This window comes from Homo sapiens, chromosome 3 (genome assembly GCF_000001405.40).
Source record: "Homo sapiens chromosome 3, GRCh38.p14 Primary Assembly".
Lineage (NCBI taxonomy): Eukaryota > Metazoa > Chordata > Mammalia > Primates > Hominidae > Homo > Homo sapiens.
Window position 1 is genome coordinate 100,260,192 of NC_000003.12, and position 27,415 is coordinate 100,287,606.

General features: G+C 38.0%; 1 protein-coding gene across 2 annotated transcripts in view, besides 5 other annotated features; it reads left to right on the top strand.

Annotated features, from left to right (window-relative positions):
- Positions 205-873: an enhancer, noted in NCBI's record as "H3K27ac-H3K4me1 hESC enhancer chr3:99979240-99979908 (GRCh37/hg19 assembly coordinates)". NCBI's record gives its function as "activates a minimal SCP1, AML or CMV promoter by ChIP-STARR-seq in naive H9 embryonic stem cells {active_cell/tissue: H9 hESC(naive)}" and the evidence as "EXISTENCE:reporter gene assay evidence [ECO:0000049][PMID:30033119]".
- Positions 205-1,542: a biological region, named in NCBI's record as "hESC enhancers GRCh37_chr3:99979240-99979908 and GRCh37_chr3:99979909-99980577".
- Positions 609-1,098: an enhancer, noted in NCBI's record as "active region_20152". NCBI's record gives its function as "activates an Ori minimal core promoter by ATAC-STARR-seq in GM12878 lymphoblastoid cells {active_cell/tissue: GM12878}" and the evidence as "EXISTENCE:reporter gene assay evidence [ECO:0000049][PMID:35858748]".
- TBC1D23 (TBC1 domain family member 23) overlaps positions 801-27,415 on the top strand; it is a 64,247-nt gene continuing 37,632 nt past the window's right edge. For both annotated transcript variants that reach the window (NM_001199198.3, NM_018309.5), the window contains exons 1-4: positions 801-880; positions 19,458-19,569; positions 21,551-21,656; positions 23,416-23,620. In NM_001199198.3, the coding sequence (NP_001186127.1) occupies positions 828-880; positions 19,458-19,569; positions 21,551-21,656; positions 23,416-23,620 (476 nt within the window). In that variant the 5' untranslated portion in view covers positions 801-827. The remainder of the gene's footprint in view (positions 881-19,457; positions 19,570-21,550; positions 21,657-23,415; positions 23,621-27,415) is intronic.
- Positions 874-1,542: an enhancer, noted in NCBI's record as "H3K27ac hESC enhancer chr3:99979909-99980577 (GRCh37/hg19 assembly coordinates)". NCBI's record gives its function as "activates a minimal SCP1, AML or CMV promoter by ChIP-STARR-seq in naive H9 embryonic stem cells {active_cell/tissue: H9 hESC(naive)}" and the evidence as "EXISTENCE:reporter gene assay evidence [ECO:0000049][PMID:30033119]".
- Positions 2,880-3,548: an enhancer, noted in NCBI's record as "OCT4-NANOG-H3K27ac hESC enhancer chr3:99981915-99982583 (GRCh37/hg19 assembly coordinates)". NCBI's record gives its function as "activates a minimal SCP1, AML or CMV promoter by ChIP-STARR-seq in naive and primed H9 embryonic stem cells {active_cell/tissue: H9 hESC(naive and primed)}" and the evidence as "EXISTENCE:reporter gene assay evidence [ECO:0000049][PMID:30033119]".

The following is a 27,415-nucleotide window of genomic DNA, read 5'->3' on the forward strand; positions in this document are numbered from 1 at the left end:
CCATCCTCCTGAGCGTGTGCTCACCCCAAGGCCCCGGCGGTGGCCAAGTGTCCGCCCATGCGGTGTAAAGGGGAAGTGGAACGCGTAGAGAAGGATTTTGGCAGCTCTGCTTGCCTGGAATTCCAGTCCTAGAATTCTAAATTCGGACTTGATCTTCCAGACTGTTAGGAAGATATATTTAAGGTAGGAGGCTAGAACGTATCTCCTTTAGTATATAGCTTCATTTACAACTTTTAAATATTCAGTCAAAAAGTATGTGGGCCTTCATTTACACTTTTGACGGGGCCTCACAAATAGGGGTGGTCTGCCCCTTTCCTTACGTCCCACTCTTTCTTCAAATTAAATTGCTACAGCAGGAAATTACTGAACTGTGGCTCTTCTCCTACGTCCGCCTTCCCTATGTCAATTCCCATTTCCCTTGCTTTCTCCAATAGTTAGGACTGTAAATTCTAACTTTGTTAATTTCGACGCCAAGCTGGAATGAAGACGCTAAGTGGACGCTAAAAAGACACGCTGTTTGTCACACAAGGCCTCCAACTGGGACGGCGTCCACCGCGCCCCGCCCCGCCCGCGGCACCGTGGCATCTTGGGACATGTAGTCTTTGGAGGGGCAGCTGCCTCCACCAAGTCTCCTCCCCCAAGACGCTGCCTTTCGGCCTCGGGACGCCGTGACGTTGCGTTCCTCCAGTCCCTTGCCACCTCCCTCTTTCTTCCCCTCTGGGGAAGCTCAGTGCTGGACTTCCGAAGACCTTTTACGACATTGAGTCTCGGAGTTGGTCTCAGCGCCGGATCCACTTTTCGGCAAAGTGACGTGGACGTCAACAGCAATGGCGGAAGGAGAAGATGTGCCGCCGCTGCCAACGTCGAGCGGCGACGGCTGGTGAGTGAAAGCCGGGGCTAATTTCCAATGCCCCTTTATTCTTCCTTCTCACCATCTTGCCGGTCCCCGAGGAGCCGTCTGGCGTCGGCATGGAACGGAGAGGCCGGTCCTAGGCGAAGTCCGGTGCCCTGCCCTACCCCTCTGCCAGCTGGGTGCCCCCTGCCTGCCTGGTTCTGCCCAAGGGACTGGGGCGGGACTCCCAAGGAGAGGGGTGTCATCCAGGTGCTGGGCCTCAGAACGGTCCTCCTGTGTCGTCTGTCAGTCTCCAAAGTGTGCTGGAGTGGGTGGCTTCAGGGCTGGGTTTGGCCGGAGTCCTGGCTGTGGGAGTTGGAGTAGGCTGAAGAAGGAAGTTTGTTGGATGCAGATCTGAGTCACTAAAATACAATGTGAAGAAAAGACGTTTTGAAATGACCACTGCGACCTTCGCCTGAGGGTTCAGAGGTTGACCCGAGGAGAATCCCTCCCACTTAGTTGGTATACTTTTTTTTATTCTGGCTGTTATCTCGTTTTGCATTCCAACAGTTTTCATCGTTCGTCTCCTTCACGCAAGTCATCTTTTCCCCTACTACCACATTTCTCACAGCTCGATTTCTGAGCTTTGGATGCAGTGTGGGACTTTGCTCTTACTGCACCCAAGCTGTTGCATGCTTACCTGATTTATACTCGGGATTGTGGGGGAAGACCGCCAATAATTTTTTGGTAAACTGCTCACCCAGTGTTAATCTTTGGGAAAGGCTTCTACTTTTGAAATAGTTGATCTCACGATACACTGTTAGGTTGTACAACATCATTTTTTAAAAAGGGACCTTTAGAGGCTTGTCTAAATTTTACAGTTGATCTAAGTGTATTGACCACATGTATTAGTTTTGGATTTGCTTGTTCGTTATATTGTATGTGTACAGCTCATGGGCACTTTAAAAATAATACAGGACATTGATAGACATCGACTTTAATCCCAGAGGAAAAAAATGGAAATCGTTGAAAGGGATAGATAATTAGTAATTAAGAAATTCAGCTCTCCATTAGCAGACATCAAACATTACCGTAGCGCTGGGCTCTCCAAGGTGTCAGAGGAAAACTTCATGGTGATCTAGATATAGTTTTTTTTTCTTCAACTTGCTTATGTTGGAGTTGGGAAGGTGTAACAAGGTAAAATTAATCTTATTCTTTGTGAGTGTGATTCAAAGTGTTACGAGAGGTTGGCGGTGGGGGCTGGGGCAGTTGGAGTCACTGGGGGAAAGCTTCATGAAAGCAGCAGTGTTTCAACTAGGCTTTGAAGAATAAGTAGGATTTAAGCCCCAGGGCTGTCTAATAGAAGCCACATATTGTAATTTAAAATTATGTAGTAGCAGCATTTAAAACTGAAAAGAAGGCTGGGCGCGGTGGCTCACGCCTGTAATCCCAGCACTTTGGGAGGCCGAGGCGGGCGGATCACTTGAAGTCAGGAGTTCCAGACCAGCCTGACCAACATGGTGAAACCCCGTCTCTACTAAGAATATAAAAATTAGCCGGGCGTGGTGGCGCGTGCCTGTAATCTCAGCTGCTTGGGAGGCTGAGGCAGGAGAATCGCTTGAACCCGGGAGGCAGAGGTTGCAGTGAGCCGAGATCGAGCCACTACTGTCCAGCCCGGCGGCAGTGTGAGGCTCGGTCTCAAAAAAAAAAAAAAAAAAAAAACACTAAAAAGAAACAGGTGAAATCAGTTTTAATAATCTATTTAACATATTTCAACATGTAATCATTGTTTAAAAAATTAGATAATTGTACATCTTTTTTGTGCCAAGTCTTCAAAATCCAATGTGCATTTTACAGCTACCTTATATTTCAATTTGGTCTAGCCACATTTCAGATATTAAATATCCACACATGGCTTGGAGCTAACATATTAGTGCAGAATCAGATTAAGAGATGGGAAAGGCCTCTGAATGGAGTAACTTTCATGCGCGTCCGTGTGAAGAGACCACCAAACAGACTTTGTGTGAGCAATAAAGCTTTTAATCACCTGGGTGCAGGCGGGCTGAGTCCGAAAAGAGAGTCAGCGAAGGGAGATAAGGGCGGGGCCGTTTTATAGGATTTGGGTAGATAAAGGAAAATTACAGTCGAAGGGGAGTTGTTCTCTGGCGGGCAGAGTGGGTGTCCCAAGGTGCTCAGTGGGGGAGCTTTTTGAGCCAGGATGAGCCAGGAAAAGGACTTTCACAAGGTAATGTCATCAGTTAAGGCAAGGACCGGCCATTTACACTTCTTTTCTGGTAGAATGTCATCAGTTAAGGCGGGGCAGGGCATATTCACTTCTTTTGTGATTCTTCAGTTACTTCAGGCCATCTGGGCGTATACGTGCAAGTCACAGGGGATGCGATGGCTTGGCTTGGGCTCAGAGGCCTGACAGTAACAGCATAAGCAAGGGCATAGACAAGACAACTAATTTGTTTTGAGAGTAAGAATGAGAACTACCTGGTTGGAGAGAAGTTGCAGAAAAATACGTCTTTTTGCTTCTGGTATCCTGCAAGAATGGCAAGAGAAAAAAGAAAAATAGATCTGGAAAAATAGTAAAAAAGTTTTTAACTAATTAAATGCACCTTTTAAGAATCAGTGACAGACATTACAACACTTTTCAGAAAGTGACCTAGCTGGTTATAGCCTGAAGTTTGCTGTTTTGGAACGGTGAATTGTGTCATAAACTGGCGGTAACCAGCTCATAGAGTGCCATGAGGGGAAATGTTTCCACAGTTAAGGTGCCTCTGGGGAGTTCTTAGGTTAGAGGGATTGTGAGAATCTCTGGTTCACATGGGCAGAGGACATGGAGTGAATGTTTACTAGAGACAGCATTTTTTCTCTTGTAGGATTGATGTATCTTTGGTGTGTCTTTGTATTTTTGCTGGTTTCATTTTCATGAATGGAGGAACCCTAACATGGTCGGTGATTTCTGTTTTCCCTCCATCCTCTTCTAATCTTTCTCCTTTTTATCCTGGCACTCTCATCAGCCCCCCAGAAGAGGATTTGAATAGGAAGACTTTGGGATTGGGAGCCAGAGGTTCAGTAAAGGCTCTGTTCTTAGAGTGCTTGGTGAATGGGTTATAGAATGGGGATGCTTTACTCTTGTTTTGTTTTGTTTTGTTGAAGAAACGAGGTCTCGCCATGTTGCCCAGGCTGGCCTCATACTCCTGAGTAGCTGGGGACTACAGGTGTGCCCCATCCATCCGGGTGTTCTACTCTGTCTTTCTCTCCCCTCCCCCTCCCTCCCTCTCTTTCTTTATCTCTCTTTCTTTTTGGAGTAAATGTTTTTATTTTAACTCTGTCAGATGGAATTTTTTCTAAAATGTATCATATATCTTACTGCCTAGCTCAAACTCATCTTAATGACTTGAGTCATTCAGTTTACAAATGTAAGTGTAATTTAAGGATAGAACTAGGTCTCTGTCCTCAGGGAATTTATGTTCTAGATACAGGAGGCATGTTTGAGAACATCGATTACTTTTGTGTTATTGTAATGTGGTGAGACTTTTAGGGCCTATCTAGACAAATTGTTGCTATGTTAAGTGACACAGCTATCCCTTTTTGAGATTGCTTTTTATAAGTTTTTCCTATTTTCTTTTTTTGTTGTCAGTGGTATCTCAATTTGTTCCTAGTCTGTGAAACTAAGCCATTGAACTTGTTGAAATTGTATATACATTCTTAAAAAGGCTCAGGATGGACCTTGAAGATCTTAAAAGTATGTGGACTCTATGACATTGTTTTTGCTGATTTTCAGTTATGTTCTAGTTCACTGCTTCTCAAAATTTAAACGTACATTGGAATTATCTGGGGAGCTTGTTAAAATGCTCTCCAGGTAACTGTGATTGTGATTCAATATATTTTGAGGTGGAACTTGAGAGTCTCTGTTTCTGACTAGCTGCTGGGGGTTGCCAATTCTGGTGGTTTATGGACCACACTTAAGTTAGCAGGGTTCTAGGTTATATATATATCAGAATGAGTAGGTCAGAGGAATTTGTATATGTCACATTGTATCACCTTACATGTTATACTAAAATATGTGTAATTACATGACTTATCATTGTTCTTTAGATAATGAACTTCTCAAGGGCAGTGGCTGATAAAAGGCAGGTGTCTCAGTAAATGTTTATTGAATGAATGTACGCATGAATGAAAACTTTCCTGTAATTATGTGCAATAGCATACTAAGCTGTCATTTCATATAAATTTCCTGACTCCAGTGTTTTTGTGAGCTGTGGAATTGTCTGTTGGTATAATGCTTATTCTTTATGGAAAGCCAAAGTAATCAGAAAATGCCTCAGCTTTCAAGCTCCCTGGGATTCAGCCATGTAAGCTCAAAGGGTGTGGTGAAATTCTTGTAAAAATGCTTATAGTTAGTTTTAAGTGATTTGAATTTAATTTTAAAAAATTAATATAAGTTATGAGAATCTGGATTTGTAAAATTAAACATGTTAAATTGTTACAGTGAAAAGATTGGTAATTACCCTCCTTGGTATTGAAGAAACTAGCACTGGATTTGAACATATGTTCTCATTTTCCGATACTTTCTTCCCAAAATAATGTCTAAAGATCTATAGTCATAATTAAAAAATTATTTTGGTATTGACTTCAATTATATAACTGTTGAAATTGGGAGTTTGTTTAATTAAAAAATGTTACTTAATATTCAACTTTTAATTAGGGTTTTTTATTGCTAAACCTTTCTTAAGTTATTGCTAAACTTTTCTTAAAATTGTAAAAATATTAATTCCACAAAGAATCTTCTATTGTTGTTAATCTGAGATGTGAGTAGGAATTGTTTGAGAATAATATTTTTCAAAGTTTTCTGCACTCTGTAAATAGTACTATCAGTGTTCCCCATTTAATAAGCATTGAAATATGAGAAAAAACTTAAAATGTCTTTTAAGAACTAAGTGATTGAAATTTCAGATATGATATAATCAATAAAGAAATATATTAAATGTAAAAGAAAAAGGAACTGTTTGTCTAAGAAGGACATTGTCTACTTGTGGAACTGGGAAGGCTGGATACTACTTTTAGAAGAAATGAGAAAATGAACTTCATTTTTTGAATTGGGGTTATGATGTGACAGTTATTTGATTTTGTAAACTATAATTAGAGGGCAGGCAAAGATAAGAAATGAAAAAGACTTATTTTATACTGTTTACATTAAAGTCTTTAATTATAATTTAGATTTTAGAGTTTTTAAAGGTAATTTTTTTTTTTTTGAGACGGAGTCTCATTCTGTCACCCAGGCTGGAGTGCAGTGTGCGATCTTGGTTCACTGCATCCTCCGCCTCCTGGGTCCAAGGGATTCTCCTGCCTCAGTCTCTCAAGGAGCTAAGATTACAGGCATGTGCCACCATGCCCGGCTAATTTTTGTATTTTTAGTAGAGATGGGGTTTCACCATGTTGGCCAGGCCGGTCTCAAACCCCTGACCTCAGGTGATCCACCCTCCTCACCCTACCACAGTGTTGGGACTACAGGCATGAGCCACTGCACCCAGCCTAAAGGTAATTCTTAGGTAATAATTCACTTCTAGGATTTTGTTTCCTGTGGATGTTTTAATATCCATAATTTGAGTTAGTAATTGGTTTTTGCATGCTAAATAAATGTATTTCAATTAATTCATTTTTATCTCTGTGTAATCACTGCAGAGAGGCGACAAGTGCATTCCCTCTGTAAGTATAGTGAGCAATTCAGAGCACCCAGTTAAATATACTGTAATATGCAGCCAACTTTTAAGTAGGAGTCTTCTGGAGAGAATTGAGAAAATATGCTTGACAAAGCATTTCTGATGCACAGTGCTGAAATGTGGATTCTTTTTGGTATAAAGACAGTGCCTTCTCTCATGTGTCAAAAAGCAAAATAGAGTTTAGCAAAAACATTCTCAGTTCAGCAAACATTCACTGAATAGTGGTTATATTCAAGCTGCTGTGTAAGGTTTTAGAAAAAAATTTGAAACAGTTTTACAATCAGGAATGTGCATTGTGGTGCCTTCCTGGGATACTTTGATTTTTTTCATCATTTTATCTCTAGGAATACTGTGTGAAAATAGCTTCTGAAGATATCTAAATGCTGGTGTTTTGGAAATTACAGGCTCTAACAGAAAATAATAGGATTAAACAGTTTGAAAAGGGGCAGGGCTTGAAATGAGTTAAATATTGAGAATTACAGATGGAAAGCAGGTAAGTACCTTCCATTAAGCTCATAAAATCAAATTCTTTCTTGTAGAAATAAAGAATTTAAGAGCCACTTAAACCTATTTTCTGAAATTTAATGTCTGTTTGTTTCAAGGGTCTGCGTAACTTTTTAACCTGAGTTAAGAAAATGATGACTAATAAAGTCATTTGTTGCAAGTCTTCATCTTTTTTCTTGATGCTTAAAGGAGTTTTTTCTTATCCTTTAGCTGACATAGCATTTGATAGTTGGGTGGAAATCTTGTAGTGTTTGCTTCTTTTTTATTTTAAAGTAGTTGTTACATTAAACTAGTTGTTATGGTGGTATTTAATAATTTCAGCAAGGAGATATACAGGTTGAATATCTCTTTGGAATACTTGCATTATACTTAACCGGTTGAGCATCCCTAATCAAAAATCTGAAATCCATAATGCTCCAATGAGCATTCCTGTGAGTATCATGTTGGTGCTCAAGAGTTTCAGATTTTGGAGCATTTCGGAGTTGGGATTCTTGGATTTGGGATGCTCCACCTATATAAGAAAATACTGTACATTTGCATAGAGCGTTACTCTTTATATATAATGCTTATATATATTAATAACATCTCATTTGGATCTTAAAACAGCTCTATGAGAAAGCAAAGTTATGCATTGGGCATGATGGCTCATGCCTATAATCCCATCACTTGGGGAGGCCAAGGTGGGAGGATTGCTTGAGCTCAGGAGTTCGAGACCATCCTGGGCAACATAGTGAGGCCTCGTCTTTACTAAAAATAAAAAAAATTAGCCAGACTTGGTGGCACAAACCTGTAGTCCCAGCTACTTGGGAGGTTGAGGCAGAAGGATTGCTTTAACGGGATGAATCGAGGCTGCAGTGAGCTGTGCACACCAAGCCTGGTGACAGAGTGAGACTCTGTCTCTAATAATAATAATAATGATGTCCATGGGTTATTTTTCCTTTAAACAGTTTCTAACCTTTATTTTGAAGCCTCTGTGCATCACTTTGTGATGCAAAAGATTTATTCATCTCATATATATGTGCAATTTGAATACTAGAAATCCTTTATTTTGTGAATTCCATTTAGATTAACCATCAGCATGAAATTCAATGAAATCCTTTTATCAAAAAAAATGTTCCTTGATGGTTGGAATCCAGCTTAAAAAAAAACCCAATATGTATTTCTTTGCCAAACTATGATCCCCATTGGCATAGTACCCTTGAGAATTGTCCAAATGTTGCAAAGTGTTGTCACTTCATTTGCTGTAGTTGTTTCTTTATAACAACTATGTTTCTGAAATGATAGTTTCAAGACAAGGAATGTTGGTAATGTTTCTTTTATCATTACACTTTGGATAAAGTGGAAATTTGTAATTGACATAGGTAATATCTCTCTCTCTTTGCTGTTTTCGTGCCATTCTCTATCTTAGGCAAAAGTTACACTCTGTTTTTAGTTTCCAAATAAACTGCATTAGTGGGGTGGAAAAACAAGGATGCATTTCTTTGTGCCTTAAAAATACTGAAAAGTCACCTCATATGTATAGAAGGGAACAGTGTTGAGGATTTTTATTTTAAGAAAACATGAAAGAAGAAAGGATTTAGAGTGCTCGCTGAAGTTGACTGCTCATTAGAGAAATTTCCAATTTTGTAGTCAAAATCTTATAGCAAATGCATTGCAACATTACACATATAGTTATGAGAAACGTTTTTTGTGTATCTTTTTATTTTTTACTTAGGCAACAACTGAGTTTTTTTCTTAGCAGAGAAAAGGGCACCGTTGGTACCATTGGTGTAATTTGATCTTCATGGATTGTGGATCAAAAATAAATCTAAGATTTAAAACACCTGTTCCATTTGTAGTTAATTTTAGTAGCTTATAGAATAACATTTCTGTGATCTCTAGCCCTTTTGCCTATTGCATACAATGATGAAATACTGTAGCTATTAAATTTGCCTTGTGAAGCCAAGAGGACTAGATTTAGCACCGTCTTTACTTGGCTCAAGATCCTGATTAAAACACAAATTCTAGAGATTACATTATTCATAAGGGAATCTCCCAAAGCTGTTTTTGTGGATCTGGTCCTAATGCAAAATTTTACAAATTGTTTAAAGCTGGTGAATGGGTGTTTTTCCCCTTGGCATATAAATTTGTAACTTGTTAAAATGCTTGTAACAAGCATGTCTGATTCTGACACAAATCTAGATAACTTCACAATTATCAAATTGTATCAAATTGTTCTCACAAGACTTTAAGTTGTCAAGGTCTTTTCTGAATGTGCTATCATACTATTGAAATACTTGGAAAGTTTTGATGGTTTGAGGTTGGTATTTAAAAATAAGTTGCACAAGACATACTGTGGTCCTTGAGCTCCATGCATATCTACTGTACAAGTGAATCTGTAGCAAAGTTTTCTCTTTTCATTTCTACCAAATGTCATACAGAATATTCAAGAACTAATTAAGGAGTTTTGTTATGGTAGTACTTTGTAACCAGCGTCCTAACAATAGTAGCAAAATAAGTTCAGACAAAGCTTTGGTGCTGATGTCTCATTCCCTGGGCATTAAGAAACCCCCAGAAATGTGGTGGCACAAATTAAGCCATGAAACCACAATTCAATACATGCAGCTTGCCACTGCTTACTCACTGTTCCACAATTTGCTAGTGCTTATGACTAATTAGGTATTCACTTTAGAGTTTTAAGTAATTGGTCAGAGGCTTATACCTGATTAGGATATGTACATGGACAAGCTGGGCTGTCATGGTTTAATCTGAGCTTACAGTGATTTACATTCTAAACAAATATGAATAAATTGCACTTCAGAGCCGCTCCCACCTCTGTTCAACAGGATTTAGATGATAGGACTTGGACTAGAACCTTGGAATAGCCATCTGGCATGTAAGCTACATAAGAGCATTGACTTTTTTTTTCTGTACTGCATCCCCTGTGCCTCACACAGTGAGTAGCCTGTAGTAGGTGCTCAATACATACGTGTTGAAGGTTTGAATAAAAGAATACTTATGTCAGGGAAGGAAATAATTCAGTATATGGGTTAGGAAAGCAGAGGAAAATCTAAATGAGAGTGTTTTAAGAAGACAGTCAAACTTTGCAGTGTATGTAAAGGGGACGAGAGCTGAGAAAGATGACTAATGACTTCTGAGAGCACCTTTAGTAGAGTGATAGAGGTTTTGGGTGAATGAGAGAGTAAGTTTAGGTGAGTGGAGACTACTGTTTTCAAGGAAGTTGAACTGTAAAAGGAAGGAGAGAGATGACTTTTTGATGGGGAGTAGGTTATATTTATATATAGGACCCTTTAAGTAAGTAAATGTGAAAATTTTAAAGGAAAGGAGATAATCACAGGTTATATTTTTGAATGCTAGAAGTACTTTCAGTGAAGGTTTCTGAGTTCATTTGTTTTCTCTTGGCTCTGTTTAATACTGTTAGCAGACTCACAGGTTTGAATAATATCATATGCAATAGAAATAACATATTTAAGATGTTATTTTTTAACATCATGTCAGGCTTTGGGCTTTTATTGATTTCCCAGTAGTGTAGCTTTTGTATTTTTATTTTAAGAAAACAATAATAAATCTTAGACTTTGGCCACTTTAAGACACAATATTAATTTTTTTTAATGTGGTAATTGGATTTTCTTTGTAATTTCTCTATACTCTGCATTTAAGTGTAGAGTGATTACATACATTATAGACCCTACTTGGTCCTTTAAAAACTGCTAGTCTTCATTATTTTTATAATTACAGAAAAGGATTCAATTTTAAGAATTTTGAAGATTAGTGAAGCTGACTTAGCTTAGTTGATAGACTGAGAGGCTTCATGAATTTAAAACATTTTTTTTCCAACCCAGAAAACATTCTATTAATATCTTAAGTGTTTTAGATTTGGTTAAGAAAGGGGGTGGAGATGATACAGAGAGTGGTCCCTATGGAGTGGTGAGGATCAAAGAGGGATGAGAAATGGAAGTGGGTTGGCAAGAGAGGGAAGAGATAGATTTAAGATGAGGGAAAAGTTGTTACATATATTGTCAAGAATTCTTTGTGAAAGGAACAACCAAAAGTTTGGTAGCTGGATGGAAAGGGAGAACGTGGAGACGTTTTTGTGGTGGACATTGCTGTTTCTAATGGCAATTTTTGAGCATGTTTTCTCAGAAGAAAGAGCCAGTAGAGAAAGAAGTGGAAAATAGGAGAGAAGGGATAATGGATGGCACATGGCTTCTGAAAGATCGTGGGGAGTGGGTGGAGATAAGAGTCAGGTGAAGTTACCAGTCTTAGGCTAGAGAAGAGATACGTAAGTCTCCTGTGGATACAGGAAAGAAGAAAATGACTGGAATAATAAGTTGCTTATGTTTGTTTGTTTTTGGAGGGGGCTGAGATCAAAGGGAAGAGAAGCCTGCTGGCCTATATATTCTCTCTGGAGTCATAAGTAAAGTCACCTGAGGTAAAGTGGCTGGGTAAGGAGTCTGAAGTAAGTGCTGAATAGGAGATTTTCAGGCACTATTGTTATATGATAGCATCATAGAGTTGTCTTATTTTCCCAAGAAGCCCACATTGAGTAGAGTATAGGAACAGAGAAGGCAGACTGGTTAGATTAACCTAATGTTGGGAATTTGCAGCTTTCTGAATGTGACAGAAAGAGCAAGGAGTGAAGAAGTCAAGGGTGTTGTCAAGAATGTGCTTTAAGTTTTGGGCCATGGAATCAAGACAGAGGACATAAAGTGAAGCCACATGAAGGCTTTTCTAACGAATCCATGCCACCCTTCCATCCCTTACCTTTGTCTCCATCCACAGGGAGTATGGGGAGGATACTTACTCCCTCAAATTAATTATTTTCTCCACTCAAAAATTGAGCCACATGTTTTTATATCTTTTAAGTTACTTCCAAGTTTATCATACTGTAAACCTTTAAAATACAGTTTGTTGTCAGCTATAAGTTGAACTTGTTTCGCCTGTTTATCCTTCCAATATTCAGTATTGGAGAACTAAAATGAGACAGATAAAGTAGTACATGTGCCACATTGTTTCCTACTTAATGATTCTGTAAAGTATCCTTTCTTAAGTAGCAGTTACTTAATACGCTAGAGAAGTAATATGTTTGAGAACATGCAGTATTTCGTTTTCTGTTCCTCCTTTAGTTTGCTAGTGATAATGGCCTCCAGAGATGACACAAACAAATGGAAAAACATTCCATCCTCATGGATAGGAAGAATTAATATTGTTAAAATGGCCATACTGCCCAAAGCTGAAGGGGTGGGTTGCCCCTCCACACCTGTGGGTGTTTCTCGTTAGGTGGAACGAGAGACTTGGAAAAGAAAAAGACACAGAGACAAAGTATAGAGAAAAAAATAAGGGGACCCAGGGAACCAGCGTTCAGCATATGGAGGATCCCGCCAGCCTCTGAGTTCCCTTAGTATTTATTGATCATTTTTGGGTGTTTCTCAGAGAGGGGGATGTGGCAGGGTCATAGGATAATAGTGGAGAGAAGGTCAGCAGATAAACACGTGAACAAAGGTCTCTGCATCATAGACAAGGTAAAGAATTAAGTGCTGTGCTTTAGATATGCATACACATAAACATCTCAATGCCTTACAGAGCAGTATTGTTGCCCACATGTCCCACCTCCAGCCCTAAGGCGGTTTTCCCCTATCTCAGTAGATGGAACATACAATCGGTTTTATACCGAGACATTCCATTGCCCAGGGACGGGCAGGAGACAGATGCCTTCCTCTTGTCTCAACTGCAAAGAGGCATGCCTTCCTCTTGTACTAATCCTCCTCAGCACAGACCCTTTACGGGTGTCGGGCTAGGGGACGGTCAGGTCTTTCCCTGCCCACGAGGCCATATTTCAGACTATCACATGGGGAGAAACCTTGGACAATACCTGGCTTTCCTAGGCAGAGGTCCCTGCAGCCTTCCGCAGTGTTTGTGTCCCTGGGTACTTGAGATTAGGGAGTGGTGATGACTGTTAACGAGCATGCTGCCTTCAAGCATCTGTTTAACAAAGCACATCTTGCACAGCCCTTAATCCATTTAACCCTGAGTTGACACAGCACATGTCTTGGGGGTAAGGTTATAGATTAACAGCATCTCAAGGCAGAAGAATTTTTCTTAGTACAGAACAAAATGGAGTCTCCTATGTCTACTTCTTTCTACACAGACACAGTAACAATCTGATCTCTCTTTCTTTTCCCCACAAAAGCAATTTGTAGATTCAGTGCTATTCTCGTTACACTACCATTGACATTCTTCACAAAACTAGAGAAAACTATTTTAAAATTCGTATGGAACCAAAAAAGAGCCCAAATAGCCTAGGCAATCCTAAGCAAAAAGAACAAAACTGAAGGCATCACGCTACCTGACTTCAAACTACACTACAGGGCTAAAGTAACCAAAACAGCAGGATACTGGTACAAGAACAGACACATAGACCAGTGGAACAGAACAGAGGACCCAGAAATAAGACTGCACACCTACAACTGTCTGATCTTCAATAAACCTGACATAAGTAATGGGGAAAGGATTCCCTATCTAATAAATGGTGCTGGGATAACTGGATAGCCATATGCAGAAAATTGAAACTGGATCCCTTCTTTACACTATATACAAAAATCAACTCAAGATGGAAGCCTAAAAACTATGAAAACCCCATAATAAAACCCAGGGAATACTATTCAAAATTGTATTTTCAGTATGATTGAGTTTATTATAAATATAGATGTCTATATGTAAATATATGTCTATATATATGTCTATAAATACACACATGAGAAACTGAAAAGTGATTCACAAAAAGTGATTATCTCATGGTAATGGAATTGTGGTTGGTTTTTAATTTTTTTAATGCATTGGCAAAATTCTTTAAAATGATTATGATTAAAAATTCATTTTAAGAAAGTAAGCTGTTGTTCAGTAACAATAACAAAAGAAATAGTATTCATGGATTCTGTTTATTAAGGAATTATGTAGCCAAGCATTGCCCTGAATTTTTTGTGTTCAGAAACTTATTTAAGCATTAACTGACCCTATAAGATAAGCATTGTGGTGCTTTTTCCTTTTGTAAGGTCACATGGCTGTTGAAGGGCCAAAATTGAAACCCAGGTCTGACACTAAAGCTCAAATTTATGAATTTTTATAATACGTTAAATAGAGTTGATTTTTTTAAATTGTGGTAAAATATACATAATGTAAAAAGTTTACCATCTTGACCATTTTTCAGTGTACATTAGTATTGAGTACATTTACATTGTTGTGCATATAATCTCTAGAATGCTTTTCATCTTGCAGAACTGAAACTTTGTATCTGTTAAAGAGCTCCTCATTCTCCCCTCCCTCTGCCCTGGTAACCGCTCTCTAAATTTACTACTCTAGGTACCTCACATAAGTGGCATTGTATAGTATTTGTCTTTTTGGGACGGATTTATTTCACTTACCGTAATGTTGTCAAGGTTCATCTATGTCGTAGCATGTGTCAGAATTTCCTCCCTTTTTAGGCTGTATAATAGTCCATTATATATTATATATAATATATATTCTATAATATGTAATTAACTTATTAATTACATATATAAATTAATAAACATATATAATATGATAAATATATAATATTTGTTTATTAATTACATATATCTATGCATACAGTACACACCCCCCCCCTTTTTGTTTATTCATTCATCCCTCAGTGAACGGACACTTGGGTTGCATTCACCTTTGGGCTACTGTGGATAATGCTGCTGTGAACATGTGTATACAAAAGTCTCTTTCAGACTCTGCCTTCAATTCTTTCAGACATTTCAGGATATGGAATTGCTGAATTGTATGAGACATGTATTTTTAATTCTTTGTGGAACTGTCATACCGTTTTCCATAGTGGCTGCGTCATTTTGCATTTCCACTAACTGTACACAAGGGTTCACATCTTTGTCAACCTATGTTTTTTGAAAGTAGTAGTCATCCTCATGAGTGTGACAGGTTCTTTGGTTTGGTTTTATTATTTTGTGTTTTTTTTTTGTTTGTTTGCTTTTTGAGACAAGGTCTTGTTCTGTAGCCTGTTTTTTGAGACAGGGTCTCGTTCTGTAGCCCAGGCTGGAGTGCAGTGGTATGATCTTGGCCTTACTGCAGCCTCTGCCTCCTGAGCTCAATTGATCCTCCTGCCTCAGCCTGTTGAGTAGCTGGGACTACAGCTGCATACCACTACAACTTGCTAATTTTTGTACTTTTTGTGGAAATGGGTTTTTTCCATGTTGCCCAGGCTGGTCTCAAACTCCTGGGCTCAAGCCATCCAACCAGAAGTGCTGGGATTACAGGTATAAGCTACTGCCCCTGGCCTGGTTTGGGTTTAGTTTTTGAGTGAGGTTTTAATAGACTTGATCTTTAAATTCTTTCAGACCTCTTGAAGAATAAATAATTAATGAACAAATAATATATATGTATCATACACTTAACCAGTTGAACTACTGATACTTGTGTTCAAAATTAAGGTAATTATAATAACCAAAAAGTTGAAACAACTCAAAAGCCCATTATGTAATGGATGGATAAGTAAAATATGGTATATTCATATACAATGGACTATTATTTGGCAATGAAAAGCATATATTGATACATGCTACATTATGGATAGATGTTGAAATGTTATGCTAAATGAAACCAGGCATAAAGGCCACACATTATATGATTCCAGTTATATGAAATATCTAGAATAGGTAAATATGTAGAGACAGAAAGTAAATCAGCGGTTGGCAGAGACTGGGGTCAGGGTAGGAGGTGCTGGTGGGGAGGAATGGCGAGTGACTGCTAATGGGTATGGGGTTTCTTTAAGTGCAGAAAGATACTTGTTAAAAAAAAAAAAAAAAGGAGATGAACTAAGTCTCGTTTCTTGTTTTCATGCCCTGTTTGGCGAGAGTGTGTGTATATTTAAACAGTTTTCATAAATTTTGAAATGATGGGGAAAATAAATTTTTAGAACATGGTTGGGAGGAAAACCGAATTTAGAAAAATGTTAGTATATAGTCATTTTTTCCTAGTGGGAGATTTCCTATAATATATATTATAGGAATATAATATATAATTCCTATTTCCTATAATTTTAATTTTAGGAACACAATATATGTAATCCAGTTGCTTTTAAAAATCATAATTTTAGTATGATTCAATATGGTTTATTCAGAAAATTACAAAATTTCTAATAACGAATTTGTTAATCATAGAAGCATTTGGAAATGCATATTAAATTTGGTAGTGCTTGAAAATTCATGCTTCCTTCTCCCATACATTGTGCAAATGCTTCCATATGTTATTCACCATTTGGCTAAAGAAGAAAAATCCAATTCATTTGCTAGCTTGAGTATAAATATTAAACTATTTCCATATAAATCCAGTGACATTGTTTGCCTCGCTGTAATTCTGAAGCAACTTGGGCTACAATGCTTAGATTAGGTGATTTTACCACACAACATCAGGTGAGGGGAAATTCTGTTATGTTTTATTTAGGTTTGGAAAATAATGCTATTGATAGATCATGACAGGAACCTGTAGTATTATACCAACATACGTTAATAGTTTCAAAGTCACAGAGTCAGGAGGAGGTGAGTTTCTCCTTCCTTCCCACCTCAGAACCATGGGATTTGGTCTGTCCTGACCTTTCTGAGCAAAGGAGATAATTTTGCTTATTTTTTGTACTTTCTAGAATAAATGGACAAAGCCTGTACTTTTCTGTTTTAAAACCTTGTCTGGATGTCCAGTGTAACTGTACCAATCTTTAATTTGTAAGGTCAGTGAGAAGCTGCTGGTAATCAAAGAAGACTGAACAAAACACAGCCCACCCACTCATACCACACCAGACATGGATTTTGCTTTTGTATGTTAGAATTGTATTACTTGTTTAAAAGCAGAAACTTGGTTTAGGGGAAGAGGAATTCTATTTGGGAGCTAAATGCTATAGAATTCTTATCTCTGATTGATCCTTCTATGAATGATTTACCTTAACAATTTTCAGCTCTTTACTACTTTTATAAGCACATTTATATTGTCGAAGGTCTATTAACTGTACCTTTGGATGCCTTGTTCAGAAAATAGTGTTACTTTTAATTATTTAGGTTTGTAAGAAGTATCTTTTGCTACTTAAGGTGTAGCATTTTCTGGTCTTCAAAGGAGCCCTTGCTCATGGTTGTACTGCTGGAGAGCACATTTGTGGTTCCCTGGAGACAGCATCAAAGACTCCAACAGCAGCTGTATCAACAGAGATGTGTTTGTACATTATTGTGATTTAAAAAGTACTTTGAGGATTGGGCATTTTGCAACAAAATACAAGCTTTGTTCTCTGGAATAGTAGGGGATTTGGCAAAATTACTTCAAAAAGAAAAGGATTTTGCACTAAAAAGTGAATAATTCTAATTCTTCATCTAGTAAAATAATTTCATCCCAGTAAGTAGTGTTTTTAGTCCCTCATTATTTGACACATTTGACCATTTAAATATATGGTATTTATTCACCAAAGATGCCATTAAATTTTCTTTGTTTCATGGTTACTAACAGCCTGCCTTGTACATTTTGGCCAGAAGAGAAGAGATAAACCCCAGTTTTTATCAGCTATAGGCCTGAACTCTCAACAGTAGACTTGAAATCTTTTTCTCTACCTCTCCCTTCCAACACTTTGGTGACCATATAGCAAAAGAACTAAATGTTTCTTGTGTGGTTATTAGTTATCTTCTGTTCATATGAATTTGTAGTAGCTTTGTCAAGGAACCTTTCAAATTCGATGAGTACTTTTCTGTTGAGTATGATCCTAAGTGATTACATTTTCATTTAATTCCTTTCTCTTAGGAGAGCAACGCTTTATGAAATTTATACATTTAAACTAATATTCTTAGATGCCTATCAGTGGGGAAGTTTTCATTGTCTTAGTGAAAAAAATGAAGAGTGGGAATAATTTATTTTCTTCAGAACCACCAAAATGGGACAGAAATCCTGATTTCCTGATCCTAGTGAGATCATCTGCCTTTTAGGCTGCTTCAAAGAATGTTACAGATTGTCCAGGTTATGAAGCTCTTAAAAATTTGTACAGATTTTTAATGTATGCTGAAATCATAAACAATGACTGAAACCTCAGTTTTTGAAAATTCCTAAGGAATTGATTGATTTTTTTTTTTTTTTTTGAGACGGAGTCTTGCTCTGTCACCCAGGCTGGGGTGCAGTAGCATAATCTTGGCTCACTGCAACCTCCGCCTCCTGGGTTCAAGCAATTGTCTGCCTTAGCCTGCCAAGTAGCTGGGATTACAGGGACCTGCCACCACAGCCCGCTAATTTTTTGTGTTTTTAGTAGAGACGGGGTTTCACCATCTTGGCCAGGCTGGTCTTGAACTCCTGACCTTGTGATCCACCCACCTTGGCCTCCCAAAGTGCTGGGATTACAGGCGTGAGCCACTGCGCCCAGCTGGAATTGATAATTTAACTGGTTATTTTCTGGCTAGAAAACAATGTATACTTTTGTAAAAGTATTCTTTTAATTATTTTTACCTTATACAAATGAAATTAAATTCATACTTTTCTCCTTAAACATCGTAGACTGAACAAAACTGCTTGGTAATTTACTTGATGATGTGATATTATTCTTTTGCTTTAATATACCAATAGATCCTTTTTTCCCTCTAACATTTATTTAATACTTATTGTAGGCTAGGCACTGCTCTAGGCATGATACTGATGTAGTCATTTACTAAATAGTCTCAGGCTGCAGTGTTTTGAATTCTTGGCTGAATTGAGCATAATGTTAAGAACACGAATTCAGGAACCAGACTGTTAAAATTTGAATCCTGGCTCTACTGCTGATATGACATGTGACCATAATATGACATGTGACCCTATACCATAATACTGGTAAACACCTAAAAGAACAGTAACTTTTTAATACCAATGAAGTTATTTCTTCAGTTGTCCCCTAAATGTCTATAACCCTTCTTTGCCTCCATTTTTGCATCTGTACGTGGGGTCAGTGATGTAACCTACCTCATAGGGATTGTTATGAGGATTAAAAAGAACACATAAAATGTTTGAAATAGTGCCCCACACATAGTTGCTATGTAAAGTTATTACCACCACCAGGAATACTGTTATTACTATGACTTCACAGTGCTGTCAGCCAGCTTGCCCCATCTCCTCTTTAAATTTCTCTAATCTAGGAAAAGACAACCAAACTAAGGGTAAAATGAGAGTAAATTGACTGTATGAAGCCTGAGATTTCCCACAAGAAAACATGCTGTGTATACCTTGGCATTACATTTTGGTTGCTGAGAACTTTTGTTTCTTAGACAAGCCTTTAATAGGCCATGCTTATAAATGAATCTTGAATAAGAAAAAGTATGAGATAAAGTTCATTTTAATAAATAGGACTTATTTTTTAGGGAAAAAGATCTTGAAGAAGCTCTGGAAGCAGGAGGTTGTGATCTTGAAACGTTGAGAAATATAATTCAAGGAAGACCGCTGCCTGCTGATCTGAGGGCCAAAGTTTGGAAGGTAACTAGAAACTAAAATGAATAAAATGTAATCACTGAAGAATAATATTTTTAAAAGTTTGTTGCTTCAGATGTCTTAGTTGCAGAAAACTTTATTACCTTATGAGCATGCCGCATCTAGATTTATCAAACAGCAGCTTATTAAAATGTTTGTTTCTGTAGTGTTTGGTATATTTAACAATAATGGCTTAGATTTTGGAATGTAATATATGCTTTTGTAGCCATTAGAAATGGTGTTTATGGGGCCAGGCACAATGGCTCATGCCTATAATCCCAACACTTTGGGAGGCTGAGGCAGGCAGATCACCTGAGGTCAGGAGTTCAAGACCCGCCTGGCCAACATGGTGAGACCCCATCTCTACCAAGAGGCCGAGGCAAGAGAATCGCTTGAACCCAGGAGGCGAGGCTACAGTGAGCCGAGATAGCGCCACTGCACTCCAGCCTGAGTGACAAAGTGAGACTCCATCTCAAAAAAAAAACAAAAAGAAATGGTGTTTATGAAAATTTTCTTGAAACAAGATACAATCAGTGAGTAAAATAGGATGTATATTTGCAGATACAGAATGATCATAACAATGTTAAAAATAAAAAAGGAAGTATGCCTCTGGCTGTTGGGTTATAGGAGATTTTCCCTTTGTTTTCCTCTATTCAGCTATTCTACAGTTCATGTGTATTATTATTTTTTAAAATTTTGAATTAAGGCATTGTTATGATTACAAAAGAAATACATATATTTGTGGAAATATATACAGCATAACAACCACAAAGGATAAAATAAAAATCTGTTACCTACCACCTATAGGTAAAACAGATGAGGTCTTGGTGCTTACCTTTTTACCTTTTTGCCCTATGCACATATGTAACAGAAATGGAATTAAAACTGTACACAGCATTCTGAGCATTTTATTATAGAAGTTTAAGCACATGCAAAAGTGTAGAACTTGTATAATGAACTCCCATGTGCCCATAACCCAGCTTTAACTGGTATCAACATTTAGCCAGTGTTGTTTGATTAGTATCCTCATCCTTTCCTCCCCACCCAACTCACTGGATTGTTTTAAAGCAAATCCTTGCTAGCATACTAAAAGTCTGAAACGTTTAAAAGAATGGTAATTCCTGGCTGGGTACAGTGGCTCACACCTGTAATCCCAGCACTTTGGGAAGTTGAGGCAGGTGGATCACCTGAGGTTAGGAGTTTGAGACCAGCCTGGCCAACATGGTGAATCCCCATCTCTACTAAAAATACAAAAATTAGCTGGGCGTGGTGGTGGGTGCCTGTAGTATCAGCTACTTGGGAGGCTGAGGCAGGAGAATCACTTGAACCCGGGAGGCGGAGAGGTTGCATTGAGCCGAGATCGTGCCACTATGCTCCAGCCTGAGCAAGAGAGCGAAACTCAGTCTCAAAAAATAAAAAAGACTGGTAATTCCTTAATATCATAAAATAATTTCTTCAGTTGTCTCATACATGTGTTTTTATGGGTGATTTGTTTAAATTTGAATTCTAGTAGGTCTACCTGTTGCATTTGGATATGTCACTTAAGATTCTTTAAATCAATACAGTTTATTTTACATTTTAAAAAAAACCTTACAAAACAGTGAAAACATTTGCTCAATTTATTAAGTATTCTTTTGTATAATTTTAAAATGTACATGGCACAGATGTACTTTTTCTTTGCCAGTACATTCTGTTGTTTTTACATTAAAAAAATTGATTGTGTAAATTTACATATCTAAATATATAAATATTTTGGGTAATTTATTGTATTCACTAAATCAACATGAAGAAATATCTAATGTAGGAGGACTTAAAATAATTCTGCTGGTTGTGACATGACTAAATACTCAACATTTGGTGGAGTATGGATACCTTAATTGTAATCTTTGTTATTATTTTTAAATTCAGGCCTTTAATTATTACAGCATATTTTCCAAGAATGAGGAATAACATATGAAGCTAGTCACTTTTTAAATCTTTCTTCCAGATTGCTCTGAATGTTGCAGGAAAAGGTGATAGTTTGGCATCATGGGATGGTATTTTAGACTTGCCAGAACAGAACACTATTCACAAAGATTGCCTGCAGTTTATTGGTAAGCTGAATAATCACTTTCAAGCAGAGTTAAATTTTGGAAATAATTTTTGGGTTGAGGAATCACTCTTCAGAATAATCTTATAATTTCAGAATTTGTAAAAGGCTTGTAAATAGCTTTAGAACTTTTCTTTGGAAATTCTTATGAAATATTGTCTATTAATTTTAAGGGAGCCTAGTTTTGACTGGGTGCAGTGACTCACACCTGAATCCCAGCACTTTGGGAGGCCAAGGCAGACAGATCACTTGAGGTCAAGAGTTCAAGACCAGCCTGGCCAACATGGCAAAACCCTGTCTCTACTAAAAAATACAAAAATTAGCCAGGTGTGGTGGTGGGCGCCTGTAGTCCCAGCTACTTGGGAGGCTGAGGCAGGAGAACTGCTTGAACACAGGAGGCAAAGGTTGCAGTGACCTGAGATCACACCACTGCACTCCAGCCTGGGCACAGAGTGAGACTCTATCTCAAAGAAACAAAAAAGATAACCTAGTTTTTACTGTTTCTTTTGCATTATATGTTAGATTTTTCATGTACATTTATGGGTTTGTTGTAGTCTTAAATTTGATTTTTATATAATTAAAGATCTATATGATTGTATGCAGCCCTCAAAGGGGAGCTTTGTTCCAAAAGTTTATCTATAAATCATAGTTTGTGGACTGCTGTAGAGAAACTACTATAAATTGTGATTGAATAGGTTTCCAGTCACCCCACAACATCTATTTCATTTCACAATGTGGATGAATTTAGTTTATACTTCTTTTAAATTCATCTCTAGTGCATTGTATTTTTGTTTCTCTTTCCATCATATTTTAGTTAAATTATTAGCTTGATAGGCCTATGTGTGGTAAGCACAGCAGAAACATTATTGCTGGTGTGGACAAAAGAAAGAATTTGATAGTGGAGAATGAATTCCTTTCCCTCTTCTTGCCAAAATTATAGCAACAACTGCCCATCATGGAGTAGGTGATAATCTGTTTAGAAAACCCTTTTGCTTCCCAGGAATATGGGCTATGCCTATCTTTACCTATCCCTTTAATTCAGATTGGCCATTCTTATGTTTGACATATATATAGATCAGGTATTACTAAGTGCTAATGTTTAGTAAATACTGAATGTATAGAAGTCTTCTGTTTCTTTCCCTTCTCTCTCAACAGACTAGGTAAGAAAACATGCTTAAGTGAAACTGTTATTCTTAATTTTCTTTAAATTTTCTTTAAACTGTCTTAAAGTTAAAAGACTGTTAGAAGGCCAGGCACAGTGGCCCATGCCTATAATCCCAGCACTTTGGGAGGCCGAGGCAGGCAGATCACCTGAGGTCAGGAGTTCGAGACCAGCCTGGCCAACATGGTGAAACCCTGTCTCTACTAAAAGTACAAAAATTTAGTTGGGTGTGGTGGTGCTTGCCTGTAATCCTGGCTACTCGGGAGGCTAAGGCAGAAGAATCACTTGAAATCGGGAGGTGGAGGTTGCAGTGAGCCAAGACCGTGCCATTGCACTCCAGCCTGGGTGACAAGCTAAACTCCGTCTCAAAAAAAAAAAAGGCTGTTATAAAGCGTTTTGACTGTGTGTTTTCCTTGGGTTTTGGATCTGTGAACCAATGATTGTTAAAATAAGTATAAGGGAAAATATACTTTCATGTAGTTTCACTTTGTCTTTCTCTAAATGCACTAACATAGTATTATATATTTGTAAACAAGTGTTATGTCCAATAACAGCCCCTGACAGGCCCTCAGTAACTTTATTTTTAACATTTATTTTCTAGACCAGCTTTCAGTGCCAGAGGAGAAGGCAGCAGAATTACTTTTGGATATTGAATCTGTAATTACCTTTTATTGTAAATCACGTAACATTAAATATAGCACATCCCTTAGCTGGATACATCTACTGAAACCATTGGTGCATCTTCAACTGCCACGCAGCGATTTATACAACTGCTTTTATGCCATAATGAATAAGTACATTCCCAGGTAAAATATGATTCAGTTATTGTAGTTTTTAAAAGTGAATACAGGCCTGGTTTGCTTTGAGCTAAAGTTGCTAGATTTACTTTGGCGGTAAAGTAAAAGGTTCAAATAATTTTGAGGATTGTTTGATCCATAATTGTTATTTTATTTTTGTGGTTATAAACATTTTTTAAAAGATTCTTTAGTTAAAAATGTATACTTCTGAAACAGTGGTTATACTGGGGTTGGAGTTGGGGAGGAAGTGGGGAGATTTAGGTCAAAAGGATACAAAATAGCAAATAGGTGTGATGAACAAGTCGAAAGACCTAATATGCAATGTGGGGACTCTAGTTAATAATAGTCTATTATATTGAAGATTTTTGCTAAATAAGTAGATTATAGCTGCTTTTGCCACAGAGGGGAAATTGGGAATATGAGATGATAGGTGCATTATTTTGTTCCACAATAGTAACCATTTTACTATGTATGTGTTTTTTATAACGTGTTGTATAATGCACAGAAATTTATTTTTAAAAAATAATTTAAAAATTAAAAATTTCTAGAGTTTATATATATAATTCTTCCAGTTTATTTGGTGGTATCCCTATTTTAATTTATTTGCCTATAAAATATTACAGTGTTCAGGTGAAAAGTAAAATTTCTGGGGTGTTACCTTATTGAGCTTGGAAGGAAGTCCTAGAAATATAGGCATTGAACAAGTAAATTGAAGTGTGCTGAATGTTAGAAAGGTGAAATATAGAGTGCTATGGGGATGTATAATGGGGGCAACCTAACTTACCTTGGAGGTCAGGGATGGCTTTCCCATGGTAAGTGGCATTTGAGACCAGACAGATGTGCAGGTGGTTGTGATGGGGGTTGTAGTGGGGGTCGTGGTGGTGGGCAGCACTCATGAGGCCAGAAAGAATTGTTGTAGTTCCCAGTGCAATAGATCAGATAGTTAGAATTTTAGTACCAAAAGAAACTTTAGACATAGTCTAGACTAGTGGCTTGGCTGTACAACCTTGAATGCACATTAGAACTATTGGGGGAGCTCTTAAAAATCCTAATGACTATTTGCATACATGAGTAATTAAATGAAAATCTCTTGGTGATGGGACCTAGGCATCAGTTTGTTTAGAGCTTACTAATTAATTTCAGCGTGTAGCCAAGGTGGAGAACCGCTAATCTGGACCTTGATAGTTAACTGACTCTTATTTTTTACTACTTTCTAAGTGATACCACACTGTATGAGGTATAAGTGTTTTGTATGGTTCTCTACCCTGGTTGCTTGTTAGAATCAACTGAAGCACTTTTTCTTTTTTTAAATAACGACTTTATTGAGATATAATTTATATTCCATAAAATTCACCATTTTAATGTGTACAATTCACTGGTTTTAATTATAGTCACAGAGTTGTACAGCCATAACCACAACCAATTTTAGAACATTTTATCACCCCAACAAGAAATCCCCTTCCCGTTAGTGGTCAACTCTCCATTTTCCCCCAAAATGGGGGGAATGATTGGTATGATTCTGTATATAAGGAATCATACCTTATATGTTTTTGTGACTGCCTTTAATGTTTAGCATTATGTTTTCTAGGTTCATATTGTATCATATATCTTATTTCATTTCTTTTTTTGCCAAATTTTTTATTGTATGCGTATACCGCATTTTATTTACCTATTCATCAGTTGATGGATATTTGGATTGTTTTCACTTTTTTACTATTATGAGTATGAAGCTGTGAACGTTCATATACAAGTTTTTGTGTAGATGTGTATTTTCATTTCTGGGATATGTGCCTACAAGGGGAATTGCTGGACCATATGGTAATTATGTTTAACCTTTTCTGGAATTGCCGGATTTTTCCATAGCAGCTGCATCATATGTTCTCACCAACAGTCAGTGGAGATCCCAGTTTCTTCACATCCTTGTCAACATTTGTCTTTTTGATTATAGCCCATCCTAGTGAGTGTGAAATGATACCTCATTATGGTTGTTGACTTGCATTTCCCTAATGGCTAATGATGTTGAGCATCTTTTTATGTGTTTATTGGCAATTTATATTTCTTCTTTGGAGAAATGACTCTTTACCCAAAGTACTTTTAAAACATACTGGTCCCTAGAGTTTTGTTTTTTTTTTTCCAATAAATCTTTTGCACTCCTATTTTTTCCACAGTAAGCCTTTAGAGTTTCAGATATAAGTGGACTGCAAAGAGCATAGGTATAGATATTTTTAAATCTCTCCAGGTGATTCTGATATGCACCAGGATGGAGAACCTCTGTGCTACCTTGAAGCCATACTGCTTTATGTAAGGAAAACAGACTTAAAGATACCAGAAAACAAGGCTAAGGTCATGGCAGAGCCAAGACTTGAATTCATATTTAGGAGTCATTTTGTTGTACTAGGTCTCTCAACTGCCTATATTTTAGCACTTCTCATGGCCACCTCTTGCTCTAACAGCTAGCAATAGCAAGAGATAAGATGTCCCAGCTTTGCCTCTGGAGAATGGTGGTGATGGTAGTTAGGAACAGTGGGGAAAGACTTTTGCATTATGCTTTGTAACATACTGTGTTGTCAGGTTTCTCTAGTTATTGCTTCCATGACTTCCATATGGAACAGCCCTCCAGCCAGGGCCAGCATTAATAGCCCTGGAAGGAACCCCGAGCCCCACAGAATGCTGCTGGAACTCCATTTTAACATATCTTCTTTTTTTTTTTTTTGAGACAGAGTCTCACTTTGTCATCCAAGCTGGAGTGCAGTGGCACAGTCTCAGCCCACTGCAATCTCTGCCTCCTGGATTCAAGTGATTCTCATACCTCAGCCTCCTGAGTAGCTGGAATCACAGGCATGTGCGACCATACCTGGCTAATTTTTGTGTTTTTAGTAGAGATGGGGTTTCACCATTGGTCAGGCTGGTCTTGAACTTCTGACCTCAAGGGATCCGCCCAACTCGACCTCCCAAAGTGTTGGGATTACAGGCGTGAGCCACCACTCCCACCCTAACATATCTTCTTCTTTTTAATTATTTATTTATTCATTTAGACAGAGTCTCGCTCTGTTGCCAGGCTGGCGTGCAATGGCATGATCTTGGCTCAGTGCAACCTCCGCCTCCCAGATTCAAGCGATTCTCCTGCTTCAGCCCCCGAGTAGCTGGAATCACAGGCGTGTGCCACCACACCCGGCGAATTTTTGTATTTTTAGTAGAGATGGGGTTTTACCATTGGCCAAACTGGTCTCAAACTTCTGACCTCAAGTGATCCGCCCCCTTCGGCCTCCCAAAGTGCTGAGATTACAGGTGCAAGCTACCGCGCCCAGCCTTTTTCTCTTCTTTTTTTGAGACAGGGTCTCACTCTGTCACCCAGACTAGAGTGGAGTTGCTTGATCTCGGCTCACTGCCACCTCCATCTCTTAAGCTCAAGCGATTCTCCTGCTTCAGCCTCCCAAGTAGCTGGGTTTAAAGGTACATGCCACTATCACCAGGCTAATTTTTGTATTTTTGGTAGAGACTGGGTTTTACCACTAGCATGTCTTATTACAGTTTCACATATAAGATGGCAGAATCCCGTCAAGCACAGTGCCTTGTACTTGAGAGCAACACTGCAGTATACAGTTGTTAAATGAATAATTGCTGTTGCAGTGGCTGACTCTCAGAGATGCCCCACTTTTTTGGAAGATGAGATCATGAACTAGGCAATTGTTTCTATAGTGTATGCCTCTACTCACTGTGTGTTCTGCCTTAGCATTCTTTTGCCTTGCATTTATACAGTAGGGTAAGTATTAAGACTAAGGAGGAGGTAGTCATACCAGTATG